The 27,292-nt window shown below is 36.0% G+C and overlaps 1 protein-coding gene and 1 pseudogene across 55 annotated transcripts in view; both read left to right on the forward strand.

Moving 5' to 3' along the window:
• RALYL (RALY RNA binding protein like) overlaps positions 1 to 27,292 on the forward strand; it is a 739,058-nt gene that overhangs the window by 495,144 nt on the left and 216,622 nt on the right. The window lies entirely within an intron of this gene.
• On the forward strand, positions 819 to 1,913 carry PSMC2P2 (PSMC2 pseudogene 2; annotated as a pseudogene).

Raw genomic sequence — 27,292 nt, forward strand, 5'->3', positions numbered from 1 at the left:
GTTCTATTTCTTCATTTATAGGAGGTTGAACTTCTCTGGAGTGCTAGAGCTATAGATTTTTCTGGATGTGTGCTTCAGAGTGAAGTCAAGTGATATTACTTTTCTCTTAAATTACCAACCAATTGAAAAAAAATCCTTAGTTCTAAATTTCAAATTCCACCGATATCATAAGTCATACAAAAGCACTTTGCTTTTCACCCTTTATTTTTTAACATTGTCTATATGGGAATGGACAACTCTTGATTACTACAGCTAAATTGTCAGTTTTATGAATTACTTCCTATAAAAATGACCTCCTTTGCCCTGCAAGTATAGTTTTTTTGTTGTTTTTTTGTTTTTGTTTTTGTTTTTGAGATGGAGTCTCACTTTGTCACCCAAGCTGGAGTGCAGTGGCGATATCTCAGCTCACTGCAACCTCCACACCCCAGGTTCAAGCGATTCTCCTGCCTCAGCCTCCCAGGTAGCTGAGATTTTAGGTATGCACCACCACACCCGGATAATTTTTTTCACATTTTTAGTAGACACAGGGTTTCACCATGTTGGCCAGGCTGGTTTCAAACTCCTGATCTAAAATGATCCACCCACCTCGGCCTCCCAAAGTGCTAGGATTACAGGCGTGAGCCACTGTGCCCAGCCAAGTGTAGCGTTTTTTAATGCAAACAAGCATATGATAAGGAATTTAAAAGGAGGCTGCAAAAGGTCAGAAAAATTGTACAAACCTATTTCAACATGGAGTTCTTTCTTGAGTCTCTTTATTACTTTCACATTTCCTGCAGAAAGCTAAAAGTTCACTAGCAACAGTGCATAAAAGAAATAATAGTAAGGCGGTGTAATCACTAAGGAGCTGAAGCACTGGCATCTCTTAAAATGCTGGATTACCTCAGTGCTGATCAGTGGAAAATCAAAAAGGATGAGAAGGATGACAAACACTTTTGAGCTCTGAATGAAGAGGATACTGCCTTGCTGAAAAATCGTGGTCAGAGCACTTATTCTAGGCAGATTAAGCAGGTTGAGAATGACATTCAACAACTTCTTAAGAAAATTAATTATCTCAGTAGTGTTAAAGAGTCTGACACTAGCCTGGCCACCACCAGCACTCTGGGATTTGGCTGCAAATAAGCAAATGCTCCAGGGTGAACAATGTTTACAGGTTGCAAGGTGTAGAAAGATAGTAAATGCTGATTCTGAGAACTCAAAATACATTGTCAATGTGGAGCAGATTGCTAAGTTTATGGCAGACCTCAGTGATCTACTGACATTGAGGCAGGGATGAAATTTGATGTGGAAGAATGTAAGTATTAAATTCATATTCCCATACTTTCTAAGATTGATCCAACAATTACCATGATGCCAGTGGAGTAAAAACCTGATGTCATATACAGTGATGTTGTTGGCTGTAGGGAACAGATTGAGACATTGTAAGTAGTTGAAACCCCACTACTTCATCCAGAGAGATTTGTTAACCTTGGCATGGAGCCTCCCAAGAGTGTGCTCTTTGGTCCACTAGGTGCAAGACACTCTGTGCTTAGGTGGTTGCTAAATAGGACTGATGCTTGCTTCATTGAGTTATTGGATATTAACTTTTACAGAAATATATCTGCAAAGGGGCTGGAATGATTCATGAGCTCTTCCCAATGGCCAGAACAAGAAACGCCTGCCTTATCTTCTTTGATGAAACTGATGCTATTGGAAGAGCTCAGTTTGATGATGGTGCTGGAGGTGACAATGAAGTACAGAGAAAAATGTGAGAACTAATTCATCAGTTGGATGGCTTTGACCCTCAAGGCAATATTAAGTGCTGATGGCCACTAACAGACCTGATACTTTGGATTCAGCACTGATGAAGCCAGGGAAATTGGATAGAAAGATTGAATTTAGTTTACCTGATCTAGAGGGTCAGACTCACATCTTTATTTTTTTTCTTTTTTTTAAAATTATACTTTAAGTTTTAGGGTACATGTGCACAACGTGCAGGTTTGTTACATGTATATACATGTGCCATGTTGGTGTGCTGCACCCATTAACTCGTCATTTAATATTAGGTATATCTCCTAATGCTATCCCTCCCCACTCCCCCCACCCCACGACAGGCCCCGGTGTGTGATGTTCCCTTCCTGTGTCCATGTGTTCTCATTGTTCAATTCCCACCTATGAGTGAGAACATGCGGTGTTTGGTTTTTTGTCCTTGCGATAGTTTGCTGAGAATGATGGTTTTCAGCTTCATCCATGTCCCTACAAAGGTCATGAACTCATCTTTTTTATGGCTGCATAGTATTCCATGGTATATATGTGCCACATTTTCTTAACCCAGTCTATCATTGTTGGACATTTGGCTTGGTTCCAAGTCTTTGCTATTGTGAATAGTGCCCCAATAAACATACGTGTGCATGTGTCTTTATAGCAGCATGATTTATAATCCTTTGGGTATATACCCAGTAATGGGATGGCTGGGTCAAATGGTATTTCTAGTACTAGATCCCTGAGGAATCGCCACACTGACTTCCACAATGATTGAACTAGTTTACAGTCCCACAACAGTTTAAAAGTGTTCCTATTTCTCCACATCCTCTCCAGCACCTGTTGTTTCCTGACTTTTTAATGACTGCCATTCTAACTGGTGTGAGATGGTATCTCATTGTGGTTTTGATTTGCATTTCTCTGATGGCCAGTGATGATGGGCATTTTTTCATGTGTCTTTTGGCTGCATAAATGTCTTCTTTTGAGAAGTGTCTGTTCATATCCTTCGCCCACTTGTTGATGGGGTTGTTTGTTTTTTTTCTTGTAAATTTGTTGGAGTTCATTGTAGATTCTGGATATTAGCCCTTCGTCAGATGAGTAGGTTGCAAAAATTTTCTCCCATTCTGTAGGTTGCTTGTTCACTCTGTTGGTAGTTTCTTTTGCTGTGCAGAAGCTCTTTAGTTTCATTAGATCCCATTTGTCAATTTTGGCTTTTGTTGCCATTGCTTTTGGTGTTTTAGACATGAAGTCCTTGCCCATTCCTATGTCCTGAATGGTAATGCCTAGGTTTTCTTCTAGGGTTTTTATGGTTTTAGGTCTAACATTTAAGTCTTTAATCCATCTTGAATTAATTTTTGTATAAGGTGTAAGGAAGGGATCCAGTTTCAGCTTTCTACATATGGCTAGCCAGTTTTCCCAGGACCATTTATTAAATAGGGAATCCTTTCCCCATTTCTTGATTTTGTCAGGTTTGTCAAAGATCAGATAGTTGTAGATATGTGGCATTATTTCTATGGGCTCTGTTCTGTTCCATTGGTCTATATCTCTGTTTTGGTACCAGTACCATGGTGTTTTGGTTCCCGTAGCCTTGTAGTATAGTTTGAAGTCAGGTAGCATGATGTCTCCAGCTTTGCTCTTTTTGCTTAGGATTATCTTGGCAATGTGGGCTCATTTTGCTTCCATATGAACATTAAAGTAGTTTTTTCCAATTCTGTGAAGAAAGTTATTGGTAGCTTGATGGGGATGGCATTGAATCTATAAATTACCTTGGGCAGTACAGCCATTTTCACTGTATTCCTATCCATGAGCATGGAATGCCCTTCCATTTGCTTGTGTCCTCTTTTATTTTGTTGAGCAGTGGTTTGTAGTTCTCCTCGAAGAGGTCCTTCACATCCCTTGTAAATTGGATTCCTAGGTATTTTATTCTCTTTGAAGCAATTGTGAATGGGAGTTCACTCATGATTTGACTCTCTGTCTGTTATTGGTGTATAGGAATGCTTGTGATTTTTGCACATTGATTTTGTATCCTAACTGTTTGCCGCAGTTGCTTATCAGCTTAAGGAGAGTTTGGGCTGAGACAATGGGGTTTTCTAAATGTACAATCATGTCATCTGCAAACAGGGACAATTTGACTTCCTCTTTTCCTAATTGAATACCCTTTATTTCCTTTTTCCGCCTGATTGCCCTGGCCAGAACTTCCAACACTATGTTGAATCGGAGTGGTGAGAGAGGGCATCCCTGTCTTGTGCCAGTTTTCAAAGGGAATGCTTACAGTTTTTGCCCATTCAGTATGATATTGGCTGTGGGTTTGTCATAGATAGCTCTTATCATTTTGAGATACGTCCCATCAATACCTAATTTATTGAGAGTTTTTAGCATGAAGGGCTGTTGGATTTTGTCAAAGGCCTTTTCTGCATCTATTGAGATGATCATGTGGCTTTTGTCTTTGGTTCTGTTTATATGCTGGATTACGTTTATTGATTTGTGTGTGTTGAACCAGCCTTGCATCCCAGGGATGAAGCCCACTTGATCATGGTGGATAAGCTTTTTGATGTGCTGCTGGATTTGGTTTGCCATTATTGTATTGAGGATTTTTGCATCAATGTTCATCAGGGTTATTGGTCTAAAATTCTCTTTTTTTGTTGTGTCTCTGCCAGGCTTTGGTATCAGGATGATGCTGGCCTCATAAAATGAGTTAGGGAGGATTCCTTCTTTTTCTATTGATTGGAATAGTTTCAGAAGGAATGGTACTAGCTTTTCCTTTTACCTCTGGTAGAATTCGGCTGCGAATCCATCTGGTCCTGGACGTTTTTTGGTTGGTAGGCTATTAATTATTGCCTCAATTTCAGAGCCTGTTATTGGTCTATTCAGAGATTCAACTTCTTCCTGGTTTAGTGTTGGGAGAGTGTATGTGTCGAGGAATTTATCCATTTCTTCTAGATTTTCTAGTCTATTTGTGTAGAGGTGTTTATAGTATTCTCTGATGGTATTTTGTATTTCTGTGGGATCAGTGGTGATATCCCCTTTATCAGTTTTTATTGCGTCTTTTTGATTCGTCTCTCTTTTCTTCTTTATTAGTCTTGCTAGCGGTCTATCAATTTTGTTGATCTTTTCAAAAAACCAGCTCCTGGATTCATTGATTTTTTGATGGGTTTTTTTTTGTCTCTATTTCCTTCAGTTCTGCTCTGACCTTAGTTATTTCTTGCCTTCTGCTAGCTTTTGAATGTGTTTGCTCTTGCTTCTCTAGTTCTTTTAATTGTGATGTTAGGGTGTCAATTTTAGATCTTTCCTGCTTTCTCCTGTGGGCATTTAGTGCTATAAATTTCCCTCTACACACTGCTTTGAATGTTTTCCAGAGATTCTGGTATGTTGTGTCTCTGTTCTCATTGATTTCAAACACCATCTTTATCTCTGCCTTCATTTTGTTATGTACCCAGTAGTCATTCAGGAGCAGGTTTTTCAGTTTCCATGTAGTTGAGTGGTTTTGAGTGAGTTTCTTAATCCTGAGTTCTAGTTTGATTGCACTGTGGTCTGAGAGACAGTTTCTTATAATTTCTGTTCTTTTGCATTTGCTGAGGAGAGCTTTACTTCCAAGTATGTGGTCAATTTTGGAATAGGTGTGGTGTGGTGCTGAAAAGAATGTATATTCTGTTGATTTGGGGTGGAGAGTTCTGTAGATGTCTATTAGGTCTGCTTGGTGCAGAGCTGAGTTCAATTCCTGGATAACCTTGTTAACTTTCTGTCTCGTTGATCTTTCTAATGTTGACAGTGGGGTGTTAAAGTCTCCCATTATTATAGTGTAGCAGTCTAAGTCTATTTGTAGGTCTCTAAGGATTTGCTTTATGAATCTGGGTGCTCCTGTATTGGGTGCATATAAGATTCATACTTGTTCAATGGATGTTGAAAGATACCAGATTTGCATGGTTAGCACAACTACATCTATACAGCACTGGGGCTGAGATTAGACGCTTTTGTGTAGAAGCTAGGTTTTTTTGTTTTGTTGTTTTGTTTTTGGTTTTGGTTTTGGTTTTGGTTTTGAAACTGAGTCTCACACTGTCACCCAGGCTGGAGTGCAGTGGCACAATCCCGGTTCACTGCAACCTCCGCCTCCTGATTTCAAGCGATTCTCCTGCCACATCCTCCTGAGTTGCTGGGATTATAGGCATGTGCCACCATGCCCAGCTTATTCTGTATATTAAGTAGAGACCAAGTTTCACTATATTAGCCAGACTGATCTCGAACTCCCGATCAGGAACTCTCGATCCCTCAGGTGATCCACCCACCTCAGCCTCCCAAAGTGGTGGGATTACAGGCGTTGAGCCATGCCTGGCTGTAGCTGGTATGTTTTTGATCAGAGCATGGTAAAAAAATGCTACTGAGGATTGCTTGGAAGACGTAAATAAGATCATTAACTATTATGCCAAATTCAGCACTACTCACTGCTAACATGACATGACTGAGCCCTGAAGGCTTTCAAATGAAAACACATCTTTTCATTGGAATCCTAACTTTGTATGGAGTTGTTAATAACCACTTCACAAAAAAGACTTCAACATTATAAAATAATAATAGTAATTGTCATTTACTGAATACGTGATACTTGTGCCAAGTTACTGTGCTGACCATTTATGTTTATTTGATAAATATTTATTGAGTACCCACTATGAATTAGGATGAGGAAGATGATCACTGCCTTCAAGGAGCATATAATCAAATATAAACAGATATGCCCAAGGCAATGATAAGGAGACTCAGTGGGAATTATGAAAGCACCGACTAGCCTGAGGTAAAGCTTTCTGGAAAAGTTTTTGATTGAGCTCCATATTAAAGAAATTAGAAGATTGCATTTGAAGATGAAGAGAAATGACATCCTAAGCAATGAATTTGTGTGGACAAAAGCATTGATGAGAAAACACTATCTGTGTTCAAAGAACTACAAAGAAGTTAGTATTTGAAAGGTCAGAACTGAGAAGACCTGAGGCTGGAAAGGTATGCAGAATTAAAATCGTGTAAGAATTGGCATGACATTTTAAGATACCCAAACTTTTTTCTGTAGGTGAGAGAAATCAATCAAGACTTTGAAAGGCCATACATGGCATATATGCATACCTTACATACATGTCAGGGTACAGTTTGTATTTATGAAGATGTATTAGTTCAGGCTGCCCTGTCAAATTGTCATAGATAGGGAAGTTTAAGCAACAGCAATTTATTTTTTGCACAGTTTAGGAGGTAGAGAAATCAATCATCCAGGGGCTGGCAAAGCAAGTTTTACCTGAGGCCTCCTCTCAGCTGGTAGGCAGTCGCCATTTTGCTGTGTGCTCACGTGACTTCTTTGTGGGAGCAAAGAGAGAGCAAGCTCTCTGGTGTCTTTCCTTATGAAGGCACTAATCCTATTATGAGGATTCTACCCTCATGACCTCGTCTAACTCATTACCTCCCAAAGGCCCCATTTCCAAATACAATCACATTGGAGGCTGGGGTTTTGACATGGGAATGTATTGAGACACAAACATTGAGTCCATAACAGGGGAGAAGGAAAGAAACAGAAGAGCAGCCGTGAGGTGAAATCAGTGGGTTTGAATGGTCATTTGATTGATTGATTGATTGATTGTAGCTCAGAGAGAAGATACAGTCTACTTTTTTCTCTACCCATTGTAACCCATCAACTCTATGCCACCAGGTGAGGCTACTGCACTAGTCTTCATCCTAGTTCCCTTCCTGCTCTTTACCCAACCCCCACCATCGTCTCCACTACCAGCCCTCATTCCACCACCCTCCTCAGCACTATTCAGCTCCTTTCTAGTACCTGATTCTCTCCCAATTTAGGACATTTGCACATTCTAGTGGAGAAAATAGGTAAGTATACAAATAAATGCAACTCAGTATGCTAAGTACTACTGAATCACAGAAGTTACTAATGGTAGTATAGTCAGTTCTGTTATAAATATGACATACATGTTCCTGAAAAATTATCACACCATGTAGAATTACACAATTTAAAAAACACAGGGCTAATGATCAAATGGGCTTGGAGTTCAGCATTCAAAAATTTTGTCACTGCCATATTTTTAAAAATAAGAATCTAATGAAAATGACAATGTTTGTGTGTGTGTGAATAGTTAAGAAACACATACATGATACAATAATGTGGGTATTTTTACCATAAAATCTGGTTTGCTTTTGGAAGTGAGTATTAAAAGGGTTGCAGCTTGTGAATTATTAGGAAGTAGGAGGACAGTGAGCTGAAATCAGAGGAAAGGTTGTATTAGGTGCAGATAGGTGTGGCTTATAAAACACCCAGTGAATGGAGAGAGCTGGTGCATGTTTGTGGTATGTGTGGATTAGGGTACATTTTGTGTATCTCCACTTAGCTTGGACACAGCTGGTGCAGTTTTTTTGCATTCCCCACATGTTTCTCATGGAGGAAATCATGCATAAGTAACCTTAATTTTTTTCTTTTTATCAATTCCTTTAGAACAAATTTACTTTTTCAAAACAGGCATTATAGCAAAACTGACAATAATTGTGCCATGAACAGTTGGAAAAATTATCACAAAAGTGGTGAAGTAAACTGAGCCTTCTAACATGAAAAGCTATATATCAGCAGAAAAGAGGAAAGGGAACCAGGCCAAGGAAACAACATGCATAGAGGGGACCAAGTGTGAAAGAGAACATCATGTTTGGCAAACTGCCAGCATGTTATTTAGCTATATTAATACATCATATTGTTTGTTTGTTTGTTTGTTTGTTTTGAGACTGGGTTCAGCTCTGTCGCCCAACCTGGAGTGCAGTGGTGCAATCTCAGTTCACTGCAACCTCCACCTCCCGGGTTCAAGCAATTCTCCTGCCTCAGCCTCCTGAGTGTTTGGGATTACAGGTGCATGCCACCACGCCCAGCTAATTTTTGTATTTTTAGTAGAGACTGGGTTTCACCATGTTGGCCAGGCTGGTCTCAAACTCCTGACCTCAAATGATCCTCCCATCTCGGCCTCCCAAAGTGCTGGGATTTTAGGCATGAACCACCACACCCAACCATTACATCATAATGTTTTTAAAAGTTTTATCAAACATATTTTCATCATCATAAGTGTTGTAATTCACTTCCTTTTCCAACATTTGATTATTTATTTCTTATTCCCCCCAATGACGGGAAAAATAATTTGACTTCATTTGATGTCTAAAACCTTCATTTTATATATGTGCCTTTCTTTTTGTGTAACCCACCTAATAACATGGCAACATTGTAAAAATTTCAAATACTTTCACTCTAACTGAATTAACTTTGCCTTGACATTAAATATTACAAATAGTCTTTCCATGTTAGAAAATATCTTTCACATACTTTGAAATAACAAAAATGGCAACTTCATGAATTCTAATCCAGGGGTAATCATGTTTTCATTTTTTGTGTTCTGATATATTACAAACTTGATGGTTTAAATTAATGTTAATTAGAATTTTTAATTCAGCCAAAGAAATATTGTTCCTTGAGGTTTAACCTATTCTATTTCAAATTAACAAAATACAAAATGTATTCTTATATTACATGGATTCATTAAATCAATTAATAGTCACTTATTAAATGCCTACCATATGCATAAAATGATCTTAGGGTCTATGAGTCTATTTCATTTCATTTCATGTCTTATAATTTCCAATGTTCCCTCTTGTTGAGTATTGTATATCTGTACTCAGAACACTCTTGATAGAAGCACATCGAATGGGAAAAAATACCCGAGTGAAAACAACATTATTATTTCACTCAACTGATTAGGTTAATTGATTTCCTGATAGACGTAGGCCTTATTCCACATGGATGATCAAATTTATTATAGTTTCCGATCCTTTGAGAACACTGAAATCTAAGTTTTACAGTGACTTACTGCTTTATATAGACAAGTATCTTGTTTAGCTCAGTTACTTGAAACACAAAAAATTGTAATAATTTAAAAAATGTGTTGCATAATTGGCAAAATTACTGAACCTATTCAAACTACTTGTAGTACACTGAATTTTTTAGGGTTCTATGAAGTACTCTACAGAAGTTTTCTAGAAACTTCTTTTATTTTCTGCAAAAATTCTGTAATTTTTTTTGTTTGGGGTATTCACTCTCTCACTACATCTTGAAGACAGTTGTGTCATTGAAATTGCTGAGATTGTTAATGTAATGACTGTTATAATGCAAGCTCTGTTAGGTAAATCCTTTGATTCTTATTTTTATTTCTCATGATCCCATCCACCTTTTTGCTCAGTTCATTTTTTGGGCACTTTACAGACAGAAATAATATGAGAAAGATAATATACTCATAATCAGTTAATTCTACTCTTTTTGGGGATAAATAAAAGAAAAAGAATTTAAATGGACAAATGGACACTCAAAGTATTTCATTTATTTAATTCCTCCCCCAATTGCCATTGATGAACTAAGCTACTTCTCACTCCTCATAGTTTTTTTTTTTCTTTAGCTTAGGAACGCATATTTGTAATATGAAACAATGCTGGATAAGACTTGCCTTTCTGTGTTAAATAATATGTAATATTCATCAGTATAGAATTTATTTGGAAGAGGCCTTGGAATTCCATAATCTAGAATGTTAGGTGACAAAATAACAGGATACAAATAAAGGCAAATATGTATCCAATAAGATAATTTCAAAATATACTACAATGTTGTAGTAATCGAAACAGCCTGATGCTGGCATAAAAACAGATATATAGATTGAAGGAACAAAAGAGAGAACCCAGAAATACAACCACACATATGTGATCAATTAAAGTGTCCCAAGAACACACAATGGGGAAAGGAAAATCACTTCGATAAGTGTTGCTGGGAAAACTGGACATCTTAATGCAGCAGAAGAAAAAAACTTGATTCTTGTTTTACCCTATATACAAAAATCAACTCAAAATTGATTAAAGATTTAAACATAAGACCTGAAACTGTAAAACTAGTAGAAAAAAACATAGGGAAAAAGCTTTTTTTACATTAATCTGGGCAATGCTTTTTTACTATAACCCCAAAAGCAAAGGCAACAAGAGTAAAAGTAGAAAAATAGGATTGCATCAAACTAAGAAGCTTTTTCACAGCAAGGGAAACAATCATGGAGTGAAGAGTCAACCTATGAAATGGGAGAAAATATTTGCAAACAATACATCTCAAAATGGGTTAATATCTAAAATACGTAAGAAACTCAATAGCGAACAGCAAATAATCTGATTAAGAAATGGTTAAAGGGATGTCGAAAGAATTTCTCAAGAGAAGACATACAAAGGGCCAACAGGTATACGAAAAAAAATTTCAACATCGCTAACTATCAGGAAAATGCAAATCCAAACCGCAATAAGATATTAACTCATACACTATTAGACTGACTCATACACATTGGAATGACTTTTTTTCTTTTTTTTTTTAAATTTATTATTATACTTTAAGTTTTAGGGTACATGTGCACAATGTGCAGGTTAGTTACATATGTATACATGTGCCATGCTGGTGCGCTGCACCCACTAACTCGTCATCTAGCATTAGGTATATCTGCCAATGCTATCCCTCCCCCAACCCCCGACCGCACAACAGTCCCCAGAGTGTGATGTTCCCCTTCCTGTGTCCATGTGTTCTCATTGTTCAATTCCCACCTATGAGTAAGAATATGCGGTGTTTGGTTTTTTGTTCTTGCGATAGTTTACTGAGAATGATGATTTCCAATTTCATCCATGTCCCTACAAAGGTCATGAACTCATCATTTTTATGGCTGCATAGTATTCCATGGGGTATATGTGCCACATTTTCTTAATCCAGTCTATCATTGTTGGACATTTGGCTTGGTTCCAAGTCTTTGCTATTGTGAATAGTGCCGCAATAAACATACGTGTGCATGTGTCTTTATAGCAGCATGATTTATAGTCCTTTGGGTATATACCCAGTAATGGGATGGCTGGGTCAAATGGTATTTCTAGTTCTAGATCCCTGAGGAATCACCACACTGACTTCCACAAGGGTTGAACTAGTTTACAGTCCCACCAACAGTGTAAAAGTGTTCCTATTTCTCCACATCCTCTCCAGCACCTGTTGTTTCCTGACTTTTTAATGTTTGCCATTCTAACTGGTGTGAGATGATATCTCATTATGGTTTTGATTTGCATTTCTCTGATGGCCAGTGATGGTGAGGATTTTTTCATGTGCTTTTTGGAATGACTATTTTCAAAAAGACAAAAGATAGCAAGTGTCATCAAGTGTGGAAAAAAAACAGTTTTACAGTTGATGTGAATATAAATTGGTACAGCCCTGATGGAACAGTATTGAGGTTCCTCAAAAAATTAAATCTGGAACAGCTACATCATCCAGTAATTACACTACTTGTATATTGAAAGGAAATGAAATCAGTATGTGGAAATATCATCACTCCTCTGTTCATTGCAGCATTATTCACAACATCCAAGATATGAAATCAACCTAAGTTTCCATCAGCGAATGAATGGATAAAGAAAATGTGGCACATATAAATACAGTGGAATATTATTGAGCCTTAAAAAATGGAGGAAATCTTGTCTTTTATAACCACATGGATGTATTTAGAGGACATGATGCTAAATTAAATAAGCGAGGCACAGAAAGACAAATACTACATGATCTCATTTACATGTGGAATCTAAAAAAATCAAATCCATAAAAGCAGATAATAGGATGGTAGTTGGCAGGGGCTGAAGAATGGGAGAAATTGGAAGATATTGGTCAAAGAGTATAAAGTTGCAGTTTTGCAGGATGAATAAGTTTGGGAGACCTAACCTACAGAATGGTGGCTATAGCTAGTGCTGGGAGAGTAGACCTTAAATGGTCTCATCACACAAAAATGGTAATGGATGTGTTAAGTGGCTTCATTATGGTAATCATTTCTTAATTTGTATGTATATCAAAACATATACAATTATAAATTGTAAATATATACAATTTTTATCTGTTAATTATACTTCAATAAAGCTAGAAAATTTAAAAACAAAAAAATTTAAAAATAAATTTCTAAGGTAAAGGAACTATTGTTTTTAATAAAATTAACTGTTTCTCACATGCATATAACATAGAAATCCATCTTTAAGTCTTATAGCCAAATATTAAATATTTTAAATCAGAAAATTAAAGAGAAGAAAGTGGATGATAAATTCTAAAGCTGGATTATGAGGACCCAGATTTTGGAGATATTGGTGATATCATCCATTAATTCACATTTTAAAATAAATTTATCAGTGAAGCAAAGTTATAGAAATGTAACTATATAGGTGGAAAATGACATAACTACTTTCAAATGGTGGAATTGCTAATTTTTTATCTTTGTAAGACTGATTTTTGAGGTTAAAAGAAAAAGAAATCTAGCATCTCCAAGCATTTTATAGTAATAACATTTTCCAGGCAAGTCAAAGCACTGTTTGAAGAATTTCCACATGTCTGGCATTTATTAAACCTAAAAGTTAAAATTACTTTCTTTAGTTTTATTAGACTACAAACATTTTGTATTGTTTGTCAGGATAACTTTATATGGGATCTAGAAATGATAAATGGGCTTGTGATGAACTCTCCTGAAGGAAAGCCAAAGGGACTTTGGTTTCTGTCATATATAAAATACGGCATTCTGGTTTACAAGGAGGTTATCTTTGTCCACAGATCACTCTTGAGATAGAATCTAGGGCACTCTGGCCATCTCTGGCTATTTGCAAGTACAGATTATATTTCAGTTCTCTAAATGTTTTTGCTGGAAGAAAATCTGTGCACTTTAATCATAGTTTATTTTCATCATTAAGTAGTTGAAATGACAGTGAATTGAGAAAGATTCAAAAACAAAGAGTAAGACTTCCAAATCATTATCTGATTATATTCCTAAGGAGCTAAGCACAGCCCCATTTAATTAAAGAAAGAGCAAATGAGCACCTTCTAAACCAAACATGCTGGGCTTTCTTCCTCCCCCCTCCCCTCATATCTTGTATAGAAGTGGTGAGGCCTATATCAGATGGATTCCTGGGGTGCTAGGAAAGCAATAGAAGAGAGTGAGTCCCCTGGAGGAAAGGGAGGAAAGGGATATTCCAGGTAGATAGAAAGCACATGCAAAAGAAGTGATACTAAAATAACTGGAGTGAGAAAATATAGTCCAACTTTCTCATGTGCATAGATACAAAAATCCTAAACAAGAGCAAAATATTAGCAAATCAAATGCAGTGATTCATAGAAAGTATAAAATATCATGATCACATTGGGTTTATTCTAGAAATGCAGATATGGTAAAACATTTAAAAATATACCAAAATATTTCACAATAAATGAGAAAAAATTATACATCAGTAGATATATTTGACCAAATTCAATATCCAATCATGATTTTTAAAAAAAACTTTGGAAAATCAAAATAGAAGGGATGTCTTTAATGTAACAAGTTTCTGAAAATAGAAAAACATGCACATGAGTAAAATCATGCTTAGCAATGAATTATTGAAACTTTACGCCTTGAAATGAAGAGTGAGAAAAAGATGCACATTCTCACCACTTATATTTAGTATTACACTAGATGTCATAGCCACTGAAGACAGAAATAAAAAACATCCCTATTTATAGACAACTTGATTGAACATATAGAAAAATCAAAAACAATATGGACTGCTCAGTTAGAATTAGTTAAGAAGTTCCAGAAGGTCAATATACAAAGTCATTTTTCATTCTATGTACCAGCAATAGCAATCAAACATAGAATATGAAATTTTAAAGGGGTATCACTTAGAATAGCTTTTACAATTCTAATGTTTCAGCATAAATCTAATGGAAGGTGTGTAAGACCACTACCCTGAAACCTGCAAAACCTGTTCATGGATTTGAAGACCTAAATATCATTTCTCACAAATTAATCTATAGATTTAGTGAAATATCTATTTCTCACAAATTAATCTGTAGATTTAGTGAAATATCTATTTCAACTATTTCTGGTATTCATCCTTTTGCTGCAGAAACTGAAAAGCTAAAAATGCAAAGTATGTAGCATTATTTTGCATGTGTATGTTGTAACAGGTATGGCATAGTTCAGGATCTGGCTGTTTTTCTAAATGCTTGAGTCTTGTTGGTTGTAGCAGTGACAGTGATGGCAGATTATCTGGATGTGTCAATGTAATCACAAGAATCCTTCTACTGGAGAGGAAGGAGAATCAAAGTAAGAAAAGGGAGACATGGTAATGGATCCACGAAGTGGGATGATGCACTAAGTTGAAGGAAGAGGCCATGAGCCAAGGGTGGTAGGTAGCCTCTAGAAGTTAGAAAAGGCAAGCAAACAAATTATCTCCTGAAATCTTCATAAATAACATAGCCCAACCACACCTTATTTTAAATGTCTAACTTCCAAGATCATCAGAGTAAATTTGTGTGGTTTTAAATTATCAAATTTTTGGTAATTTGTTAAAGCAACAATAGAAAACTAATACACTCATTTGATTCATAAATATTTGTAGAGCAACTAATATATCTCGGACACTGGCTGGCTGTTGGGGATAAATGTATTAGCCCATTCTCACACTGCTAAAAAGAAGTGCCTGAGACTGAGCAATTTATAAAGCAAAGAGGTTTAATTGACTTACAGTTTCACATAGCTGGGGAGGCCTCACAAAACTTACAATCATGCAGAAGGGGAAGCAAACACGTCCTTCTTCACATGATGGCAGGAAGAAGAAATGTCAAGCAAAAGGGGAAAAGCCCATTATAAAACCAACAGATCTCATGAGAACTCACTATCACAAGAATAGCATGGAAGTAACTGCCCCATGATTCAATTACCTTCCACTGGGTCCCTCCCACAACACATGGGGATTATGGGAAAAACAATTGAAGATGAGATTTTGGTGGGGACATAGCCAAACCATATTAATATAATAGCAAATGAAAACTTGAAGAGGAGAGAATATTTTTAGACGCATTTTATGAGGCCAGCATTACTCTGATACCAAAGCCTGACAAAGGCACTACAAGAAGAAAAATTACAGGCTGATATTCCTGATGAACATAGATGTAAAAATTCTCAACAAAATAGAAGCAAATAAAATTCAGCAACATTTTAAAAGAATCAGTGATCATTATCAAGTGGAATTTATCCCTGGGATATAAGAATCATTCAAATATGTAAATCAATAAATGTGATTCACCGTATTAACATAATGAAGGAGAAAAACCATATGATCACCTCAAAGATGAAGAAAAATACATTTCACAAAATTTAACATTCTTTCATGATTAAAAAAAAGCTCTCAACAAATTAGGTATAAAAATAATGTACCTCTACACAATAAAGGCCATATCTGAGGAACCCACAGCTAACATTTAACCAATGGTGGAAAGTTGAAAGTTCTTCTATGATTAGGAACAAGAACCCCACTCTCTCCACTTCTATGCAACATAGCACTGGAAGTCCTAGCCAAAGCAATTGGGTAAGACAAAGAAATAAAAGGCATCCAAATTGGAAAGGAAGGAGTTGAATTTTCTGTTTGCAGATGACATGATCTTATATAGAGAAATCCTAAAGACTCCACCAAAAATCTGATTCATATCAGTCCATTAGAACTGATAAACAAATTCATTAAAGTTGCAGGATACAAAATCAACATGCCAAGATCAGTAGCATTCACTAACAAACTATTGGGAAAAAAAGATTAAGAAAACAATCTCGTTTACATAGCATCATAAAAAATATATTCATGAGTAAATTTAAGCAAGGAGGTGAAACACCTGTATAATGAGAACTATACAACAGGGATGAAAGAAATTGTAGAAGACACAAATAAGTAGAAAAATGCCTGTGTTTATGGATTAAAAGAATTAATATTTTTTAAATGACTACTCAAAGCAATCTGTAGATTCAATGAAATACTCACCATAATTCCAATGACATTCTCCACAGAAATAGAAAAAGCAATCCTAAAATATGTATGGAACCACAGAAGACCTTGAATAGCCAAGGTAATCTTGAACAAAAAGAACACAGCTGGAAGCATCATTTTACCTAACTTTAAAATATATTACAAAGCTATAGTAATCAAAGTGGCATGGTACTGTCATAAAAACGGACACATTTGCCAATAAATTATTGTCTTATGATATGTTCTAATCTAACCAGAAACACCGGAATAGGCTGTTTGTTTTTTGTATATGTTGTATTTGATATGTGTTTTGAACATCTACATGGGTATAGCCAGTAATAATAGCTAACACTATACTTGTCATTATTCTAAGCACTTTTTATGTATTAACTCATTTAATTCTTGTAACAGTCCTGTAAATATATAATAGTTGAGGAAACATTTATAGATGAGGGAACTCTGGTATGAAAATATGAAGTATAATTAACGTCAGATATTAACAAATATCAAGAAGAATTAGGATTAACCAGAAATGCCTTGATTTGGTATTTTTATTATAAAAGTTTTCTTTTTTACATTTTCTGAAGCCATATTGATTAATCACTGTTTCTTGATAATGTGTCAGGTCTTTACACATATGTTTCAGCAGTTAATTTTTATGTTGAGTAATTTTTTCAGCTGTCACTAACCTGTTCATGTCATGGGCACCAACTCACAAACATACATCTCAGCTTACATTTTTATAATATCCTCTAAGACATAAGTAATTTATTCTGCTTCTGCTGAAAATTTCCAAAATGTCATGCCCAGTGATCTCCATGGAATTAATTCTTGTCATATATTTATTGACATATTACAGGGTTTTCTATCACCACTGACTGCCACTTTTCAAAACTAGAACCATTATTTCAAGTGTCAGGGTACTGGTTACATTCATTCTCTTTGATATAAACAGATATTTTAACTGGTAGTTTTATAGAAATGTTATTTTTGAAAACCTTATGAATCACATATCTATTATAAGCAAAATTTTAAGATTAAGATGATGGCTATTTTATCTTTGTCCCCTTGTATCTTGGACAAGTATATACTTAGTATTTGTTGCATGAAGTAATGAGGTATAGAATTCTATTTACTAATTATTGTGTTCTTAATCTGAGTAATGAGAAATTGTTTGCACCGTGATTACAAATTGGTAGCAAACTTAGCAAAACAAAAAATGTATCAACATTATTTGTTGAACACCAATTATGTATCATCATGCTGTTCTTAAATCAACATATTCCACTGAACTTTCTACCCCTCTCAGTAATTCTCTCACTAATGCTTAATTATTGTTACCCATGACTCCATTCTTTAAACACTCCTAATACAGCACTCATTCCCTCAGCCTCAGAGAAGAGTGGACCAGTCATTGTCAAGGGCCATTTTTTTCAATACACTGTCAAAGGACCACAAATCTGCTATGAACAGGATGATGAATCACATGAATGAATATATTCTGTAAGTTTGTGATCACTTGATTAGTGTCAGTATTCCCCAATAAAATAAAAGCTATATGAACAATCATGTCTGTTTTTACTTAGCATTACATCAACCAGATGACAAAATTTAAGTGCACAAAGTATATTATTTAAAAGACTGAAGTTAAGTTCATTTAATTTAAATGAGGGATCATATGTTAAATCCTAAATGTTAAAATTTAAAAAAAAAAAGGTTAATCTTATCCAGATGGGAACATAGCTATTTATGCTACTGAAAACACATGTGATCATCAACCCAAGAAAAAGGCAACCATAAAAAAGAAATTTTTTTCCTCATCGAATCAAGATTAGGTAGTCACAAGCTGAAATCTTGGTTCCTTCTTTGTTATACTATTTTCCTACAAACGTTTCTTTAAATGGTCTTAGAAGCTGGGAGCCAAAGGTTTTTAAAATTGAATAATCACCTTTTCACATGCTGTATTTGTGTTCATATTTTGTGAATCCTCTAATGATTCATTTAAGTATTTACTGTGTTCTCCAGGTGGGCTTTCTATAGCTTTCCAAGGCATGATTTAAAAATATTAAAAATAATACAAGATTTTGTGTTTGCCAAACTAAAGAAGTTTTGAAAATAAAATGTGAGACTCTTTTTTTCCCACCATAATTTCTGTTTCTGTATCTAAGGCCGTTTAAGTAAACATCTAAAAACGGTTTTTATAATGGTAAGAGAATCATGAATTTCATTTACATATTTACTGTTCACATACTGCTGTGCTGGTAATGGCAAATGCAGAGTTTATTCAAATAGTTGTCTTTGAAACACATATAAGAGGTCAAAGAATATCCAGGTGGTTCTGAGCCCTTTAGCAGACACAAATACACACAAAATGAGGTTTCGAGATGGATTTCTGAAATGCCCTTGGGCTATGTAATGCTAAATTATACCTGAAAATTCATTCTATTCAACTCAGCAGGCTGAAGTAGCTCATCAATGTAGTGTAATTATAACTAAATAGGAACAGGAAAGGAATTAGGAGGACAGGATTGCTGTGTATAATACTTTTGTAGACAGGCTGAAATGAATTCTATTAATATATAATATTTATGCAAATTTTAAATTGGAAATAATTAGAAATTTTGGAGTAAAAATGTTGATACTATTCTTAGAAACAAAAATATGCTGAATATGATCCATAAATTGAAATTGATATTTTTTAAAGCCCATAAAGAATTACTTATCATAGTATTGGTCTTTGTCTATTTTAAGCATTATATTTTTAAACTATGAATAAATCTTCTTAATGTCTAGACCAACATTTTCAAAATTGTTTGGTTATGTGTGTGTATGGGCACCTAATTTTCTGACATAATGTTATCTCTTTTTAATTGGAAATTTGCTCTGGGTCATTCTAACCTACTTGATTATTTTCCCCGAAGAACATTCTCCAAGTCCATAATGGACCTTAGATTAGTGCAAATATTATCATTTCAGTGGACTTCATGCACCAATTAGGCTTTACTTGAATATCTTTAGAATCACAATATATGCACCTCTAGAATTCTTTTTAACTTTTAATTCAGGAGTGAAAGTGCAGGTTTGTTATACAGGTAAACTTGTGTCATGGGGGTTTGCTGTACAGATTATTTCATCACCCAGGTATTAAGCCTAGTACCTATTAGTTATTTTTTCTGATTTTCTCTCTTCTCCCACCCTCCACCCTCCAAAGGCCCTAGTGTCTGTTTTTCCCCGCTATGTGTCCATATGTTCTCATCATTTAGCTCCCACTTACAAGGGAGAACACACTGTATTCTTTTTCTGGAGTATGAGGATAGGTAAGTATCAGAATGCATTCTCTATTGAAATCTCACATATCAAATATATTCTCCCATTGTCTGACACTTTAAAAGCATGTATATTTGCCAAAATGACAATAACTCCAATAATTCCAACTAAAGTAAAATCCTAGGTAGTGTTCTCTATTCTCAACTGTTTTCTGAATTTGGTTTCTTTGACAATTAGTTTTACAACACATGAGATAGTGGTATCATGAACTGGGTACAGTTTTTGCAGCTCACAAACGTACACACTCCAGCTCTGCTTCTTTCTTGCAAGCTCTTTGAACTTGGCCCTTGAACCTCGGTTCCCTTATCTGTAGGATGAGGACTCCTACCTCGCATCACTGCTTTAAAATTAAAGCAACATAAACAAAATCCCTCATACAAAGCAAGCACTTAATAATTGTTCATTTTTATGATTCCATTTAGCTTCTGCAATTAATTAGGGAACTATTTTAATTAAAATACCTCATCTATATTTAATTCATTGCTTACATTATAAAGCTAACATTAGTGAACTCTAGGGGTGATGATGTAAAATTATAATATAGAGTCCCAATGATAATAACATATATTCTTTGAAGCAGAATATGCAAGATATCATACAGTGGAGTGCAGAATCCCAGTTCATCGTTTTTTTAGCATCATGTATTTATTACCTGCCTCACACCAAGAAGAATTTGTGCCCCACTACCACATATATAAAATAAAGTAGAAATACAATGAATTTTATATAGATAAAACACAGCAGAGGAAAGAAACCCCACAGAATAGAAAGATGAAACCAGATGCTCTAGTTCAGAGTCCAGAAAGAAGAAAGTAAGGGCAAGTTTCAGGAAAGACAGACGTTGACTAAGATAGAATCAGCCAGGAAAAGAGGAAGGCAGAACTCTGAGAAGTCAGCAGTGTGTACAATAGGATACTTGCTACTTTATGTCTCTGCCTTCCTCTACTTCACGTGCCACGTGCCACTTGCTGGTCCCCACCATTGTCCTGAGTCTTCTGTGCTTGGTTAAGAATTTTCTCTAGCTACAATCTGGCCACTGAGGAAGGACGCATCCTGCAAACACCTCAGAACCGTGTTTTGCTAGGAAGCTTTACCACTCACAACCCTGTGGCTTTTAAGATAGGTAGGTACATAGATAGATAGATAGATAGATAGATAGATAGATAGATAGATAGATAGATAGGATAAATAGATAACAGATGAATAGATAGATAGTAGATAGATAAGTGTATACATCCTATTCTGTAAACTCTTTCATAGTAAAATTCTATGCATAATTTTCATGATCACAGAAACTAATATGACTTCAAGGATGTTTTAATTTCTCATCAGGATTCCCTATAAACTCAGTACTATCCCTTCATCTCAGGACACAGTGGAGATGCTCTGAGACAAAAGTTGTGAGCTGCTGAGGAAGTATTTTTTATAAGTAAAAGATCTCTAGGGAGCATGGTACAGCAATTCTCCCACATCATGCTTGTCTAGTCCACTCGGCTGTTATAATAAAATGCCATACATTGGGTGGCTTATAAACAACAGAAATTTGTTTCCCAGAGTTCTAAAGGCTGGGAAATCTAAGATCAAAGTGCTGGCAGATTCAGTATCTTGTGAGGGCCTTCTTTCTGGTCAATAGAAGGCAACTTCTCTTTGTGTCCTCAGGTGGAAGAGGCAAGGGATCTCTCTGGGGTCTTTTTAATAAAGGCACTAATCACATTTGTGAGGGTTCTGCTCCCATGACCTAATTACCTCCCAAAGGCCCCACCTTTAAATACATCACAGGAGGGATTAGGTTTCAATGCACTAATTGGAGAGGAACAAAAACATTTAGACCATAGCAATGCACATCTCCAATAAACTATATAATCACTTCCATATGTCTGTGAGGTAGTTTGTTGCAGATGATAGTACCTTTTATGTGGCTATCATCCGAAAAGAGACCTTGTACCTTTTTAGGTTCAGGATTATTTTACGTTATACCTTTAAGGTAAAATATAGCCAACATTTATTAAAAATATATTGAAGGGAGGTGAATTATTTACATAGGCATAAGTAATTTCCTTCATACTTTTAAGTATAATCGCTAGGAAATTAAAGACATTTTTCAACTCTTTTGTAACCATTAAATACTTGAACCCATCCAAAGGATATGATAAAGAAGATAGAATTTCATTATCCTTAAAACACTGCAAATTTATCCAAGTATAAATGAGAAAATCAGGCAACCAAGAAGATAAACTAAGTCTGGATAATCAAATTTAGGCTACAAAAAGATAAAACTCAGATAAAATTGAAAGGAAAGCATATAGAGAAAGAGAAGCAACAAAAGCAAGAATGCTAAAAAACAATTACCACTAAGGAGATGCAGTAAAAATAAAATCAATTGTAATTGTAGTTATAAAGGATAAACATTTTAACTGTTTAATACATGTAAGTATTAAATATTTCAGAATCATAATAATTGTAAAGATTTCTTTGACATTAATGCATAGGAAACTGGACAAAGTCCAAAGAAATGAATAAAGGCTTAATAATAAAACCCAATTATAGTTTAAAAAAAATGAAAGTCTCTTCCAGATACATAAAAAAACTGAACAAAACTAAGGAGTACAGAATTGATTTGTTTGCTTATTTCACTTTTAGCAACAGTCAAGAATAAAGAAGCATCTTTCTGGAAATCGTTATTTTTCCCTAATTTGAACCAATACCACAAATGAAAACTTGGACCAAACTTAAGAAAGTCTTTTATTTCCTTCAATTCAAAAAAGAACAATGATAAATAAAGTAAAATGAGGTGTTGAATGAAATGACAAGATGTTTTTAATATGATAGCCGTTAAATATTTTAGTAACTATTTTTAGATTATCTACTTACAGGACAGCACTTGACTTGGGGCGAATGGATGTGGGTCCAGATCTCCAGACAGTTGTCAAGACAGCAAGTAATTTAATATAGATGAGTGTCAAAGATACAGATATATATTTGTTTAATTGCTGAAAAGATGGGTTGGTGATTGTGCTGGGGTTGAAAATTATTTGGTTGTTATCCTTGAAAAAACCTGAGGAAAGTATTCATATAAAGAATTCATAGGAATTGTATGAATAGGGAGGTGTTTCAAAAGAAGGAAGAATTTATCTCTAAGAGGAGAAAAGCCAGTGTTACCACAGGGGCAGCTGATAAGATAAGGAGGAAAGGGTAAGAGAAGGGTCCCACCCATACATCAGGGGCGCTGGGTGATATGAATGACCTAGGAGAAAGGTTAACTGTGAGTAACTTTACATCTAAACCTGATAAACATTTTCTGTTCCTACCTGAGAAAGGAGAGTTGAGATATCACTTCCTATCACTCTTGGAAGCCCTGATTGAAGCCCCTGCTGGGAGTACATGGTCCAAGTTGCATGAGTTCATATACCTCATCTTCCTTCAGTTATCTTTTCAGCAAACTTGTAGGAGCTGTCTGGTCTCTATCGGACATCTGTAAATGAAGAATTTGGGCAACAGAACTTTGCTGCATCTTTTCGGTTTTAATATTTAATTATTCTAGCAATTCTCTGAAACGGAACCATCATAAAATTCAAGTTAATGATTTCTATACACTCTATATACAGTGTCTTGACAAAATACTTAGAAGGTTTATGAAATTCAACACGTTTTAACTTGAAAACCAGATAAAGATGTCAATACTCCGAGTGAGCTAATAATTCGATACATTTGATCTTCTGGAAATATCCAGTTAGGGTTTCATTTGGAGGAAAGGATGAGGGCTGGAGGATCAGGAAGAGAGGGGGTGAGGTGACTCCAGTAAGACAGGGTACTCACCCCTGCTGCAGAGCTGAGAAGGCCTGTTCTGTCATCCCAAGTCAGCTCTGGCTCCAAACTTGAATGTCCCTGCCGGGAAGCCAGAAGCCCTGCAGTCAACTGGATTCACCCCTCCTAGAAGGTAGTTTAGCACAACTAGTTGTTGTGGAAACATGTCCCTTGTGGGGTGTCATCTCCTGTTTCCTGCACAACTACTCAAAGTATCCCTTCACCTCACATGGCATGTTATGTTGAACTGTCTCTGGAGAAATATTAGCCAGATTTTAATCAGGACACTATGTCTCGCCCTCTGTGACACTTTATTCAGACATAACCTCTTAGCTTCACTTTACTGAAGCATCAAATAAGAATGATGATAAGAATAATAAAAATGAAACCAATAATAACAATACGTACATCATAGGACTGTTTTCAGTGTTCAATGAAATAATGCATATAACATTTAGAAAAGACCTCAGCACCTAATGAACATTCTCTAAATTTTAGCTCTTTTTAAATCACACAGCATTCACTCCCTGTGTCACATTCTGGCAAACATGATGTCCTTGGTTTCAGTACATTACTAGTGACACCATAGAGCCCTTTTAGGTAAGTTTCCCCTAGAAGCTACCCAGTGCATTGCCACTTAATTCAGCCCTAAATCATATTGGCCTAGTTCCTGGTAAAATGCTCTCAACACAACTATGTAAGTCATGCTGTGTCCCTGACCATTACCTCTACGTGTTCTCATTTGGCTAAAGTTTCCCCATTTTCAAAATTGGGATAGAGATACTCAAGTAACAGAAGATTATGTGACATAATGTATATTTAGCATAGGGCTAGTTGCATAGTCTCTCTCTCTCTCTCTCTCACACACACACACACACACACACACACTCATTCTTTCCCTTTCTCTCTTCCTCTTTCCCTCTCCCTCCTATCTCACTCTCCCCTCTTTCTTCCTTTTCTTCCTCTCTCTCCTTCCTTTCTTCTGTTATTCTATTACTGTTAAAAGGACAGTTTATATTATACATTTATATTAAAAGTATATATCTTATAGGCTTTTATTTCTACTGATTCCTTCCATCAATAAATGAAAGGTATAGATACAATTATTTGATTTTTAATGAGAATTAATTTATCCCAATGTATCAATGCTCACTAGATTTGCATTTTAAGTGTGGAGTATAAAGATTCAATTTAAGTAAAAGAAAAACAGATTGTAGGGAGTAGATGAGGAGAATGTTTGTTAATTAAGGCATAAAACTGATTTTGCAAACAAAACAACTCTAGCCCATTTGGGATTCTTGAAGAGGGCAGGAAGAAGAGTGGGGTGCCTGGACGTGCCCTTCTCTTCAGCTTCTCTCTCTGTCCCTTATGTCTATATTTTTTCTTCCTACTTTTCGGAATGAAGGTTCCCCAGGTTCCACTTTCACCAAGGACTCTGCTCCCCCTCAGCCACTGCCCCTGCCTTTCTCTCACCTGCCTACCCTACTGCAGCATGGTGCTCATGAAGTTGGCTTGTATTCACCGGGTATATGTAAGGTCCCCAATCCCTCCAAGATTCAAGCCACTAGGCCCAGATGTGAGGTTCAGGAGTAGATGCTCTAAATGCACTGAGGCGAGAAAAGTAACATAAGAAAGGATTGAGGAGCTGGAAATTGCCTATATGGAGCCTAAGAAACTCAGCCCTGATATAAGGTCTGGAGGAGAAAGGTGGGCCAAACATTGACGAGTACAAGTCTGGCTGTTTGTTTTAGTGTGTATCTGTTTATATATACATGTGGATTTTAAGGTGTATAGGTGTGATGATCGATGAGGCTGGAGGGTGGGGGCTTCTTGTACATATGAATGAAGTGAATTGTCACATGGTCTTTCCAAAAACTGTTCAGATTGATATTAATTATACATAATGGAGAATTAAAAGTGTGAAAAGTGAAAAACTACAAATTTGACTGTATATAATCAAATAGTAATGCTAATATCAATGACATTTGAGTCATTAGTCCATTACTGCCTAATCATCACCACGTTTATTCATATCATAAATATATACCACCTATATACTGCCTAAAACAGAAAAACTGTTTTAATTCTATTGAATTGCCACAGTTTTCGTGCCTTGTTGGTCTTATGGCATTGGTGTCTAAGAAATCAGCAAATAGCTTTTATAAAGGAGACATTGCTTATTAAATATGGCTTTGTTCCTGTGAATTTAAAATACATCATTAGATCTTCATACCTGTGAATATGTACAATTTCATCAAAATCTATATACTGAGAACTCACGTAATGAGAGAATGCATTCAAATTAACACTGGGACTAAAAGATGTGAAATGACAAGTATTTTAATTATATAAAAAAGTTACTGTAGTCAATAAACATGAATTGGCTCTTGTCTAAATTTATTGAAAAAGAATTTGTGATTGTATGGACTTTATCATTGAAACTTGTTTATTAAAATTTATTCATGGCCGGGCATGGTGGCTCACACCTGTAATCCCAGCACTTTGGGAGGCCAAGGTGGGCGGATCACCTGAGGTCAGGAGTTCGAGATCAGCCTGGCCAACATGGCGAAACCCTGTCTCTACCAAAAATATAAAAATTAGCTGGGCGTGGTGGCAGGCACCTGTAATCCCAGCTACTCAGGAGGCTGAGGCAGGAGAATCGCTTGAACCTGGGAGGCAGAGTTTGCAGTGAGCCTAGATCGCACAACTGTACTCCAGCCTAGGTAACAGAGCGAGACTCTATACCACCAGCCCCCCAATACACACAGACACACACACACACACACACACACACACACACACACAACAACTCATTTATTCCACAAATGTTTATTAAGAGCCTACTTTGTGCCAGGCATTGATCTAACCTCTGGACATACATCTCTGGAAAAAAAATGAAGTTTTATCCTCAGAAATGTATGTTCTAATAGGAAGAGAAAGACAGCAGTGGAATGTACAGTAATGCAGACACTGACTATGCCCTAAAGCAAGATATAACCATAGGGGTCTTTGACAAACAGTCTTACCAAAGAGTTTAGTTCATCAAAAGTCAAGGACACTGAACAGAATATTGCTGAAAACTTATAGAATATTATTCTTGGTATATGTGGTTACAAAATATAATTATTTAAGTAAAAAAAAATCCTTTACACTGAAACAATGCTTCTATGAAGAGTTATGGAGATGATATTTCCCGCTACTAGTAGGTAGCCTGGATTTGTTCACACTTAAAAAAGAATAACTTTGAACAGCTGAGTATCTCCACTTCTGCTTCTTGGCAAAAAGGTGAAACTTAATACATAACAAGGAAGTCTTATGACATAGAAATTTTTCACTAGCATGTGGGTCCTTCTGTATTTTAAATAACAACTAATTTCAGACACCCAAGTCAGCACCCAAAGGTGTCTTTGAAACCATGTTCTCATTTGGAGTGTTTGGGAGAGGCAGTGTTCCTGGGCTTCTGCTGAATGCCAGGCATTGCTCTCAGAAAAGGACAGTACAAGCTATAATGAAGGCAGAGCTTCCACCTTGTCCACTTGAGTGA

Source organism: Homo sapiens, chromosome 8, assembly GCF_000001405.40.
Source record: "Homo sapiens chromosome 8, GRCh38.p14 Primary Assembly".
NCBI classification, from domain to species: domain Eukaryota; kingdom Metazoa; phylum Chordata; class Mammalia; order Primates; family Hominidae; genus Homo; species Homo sapiens.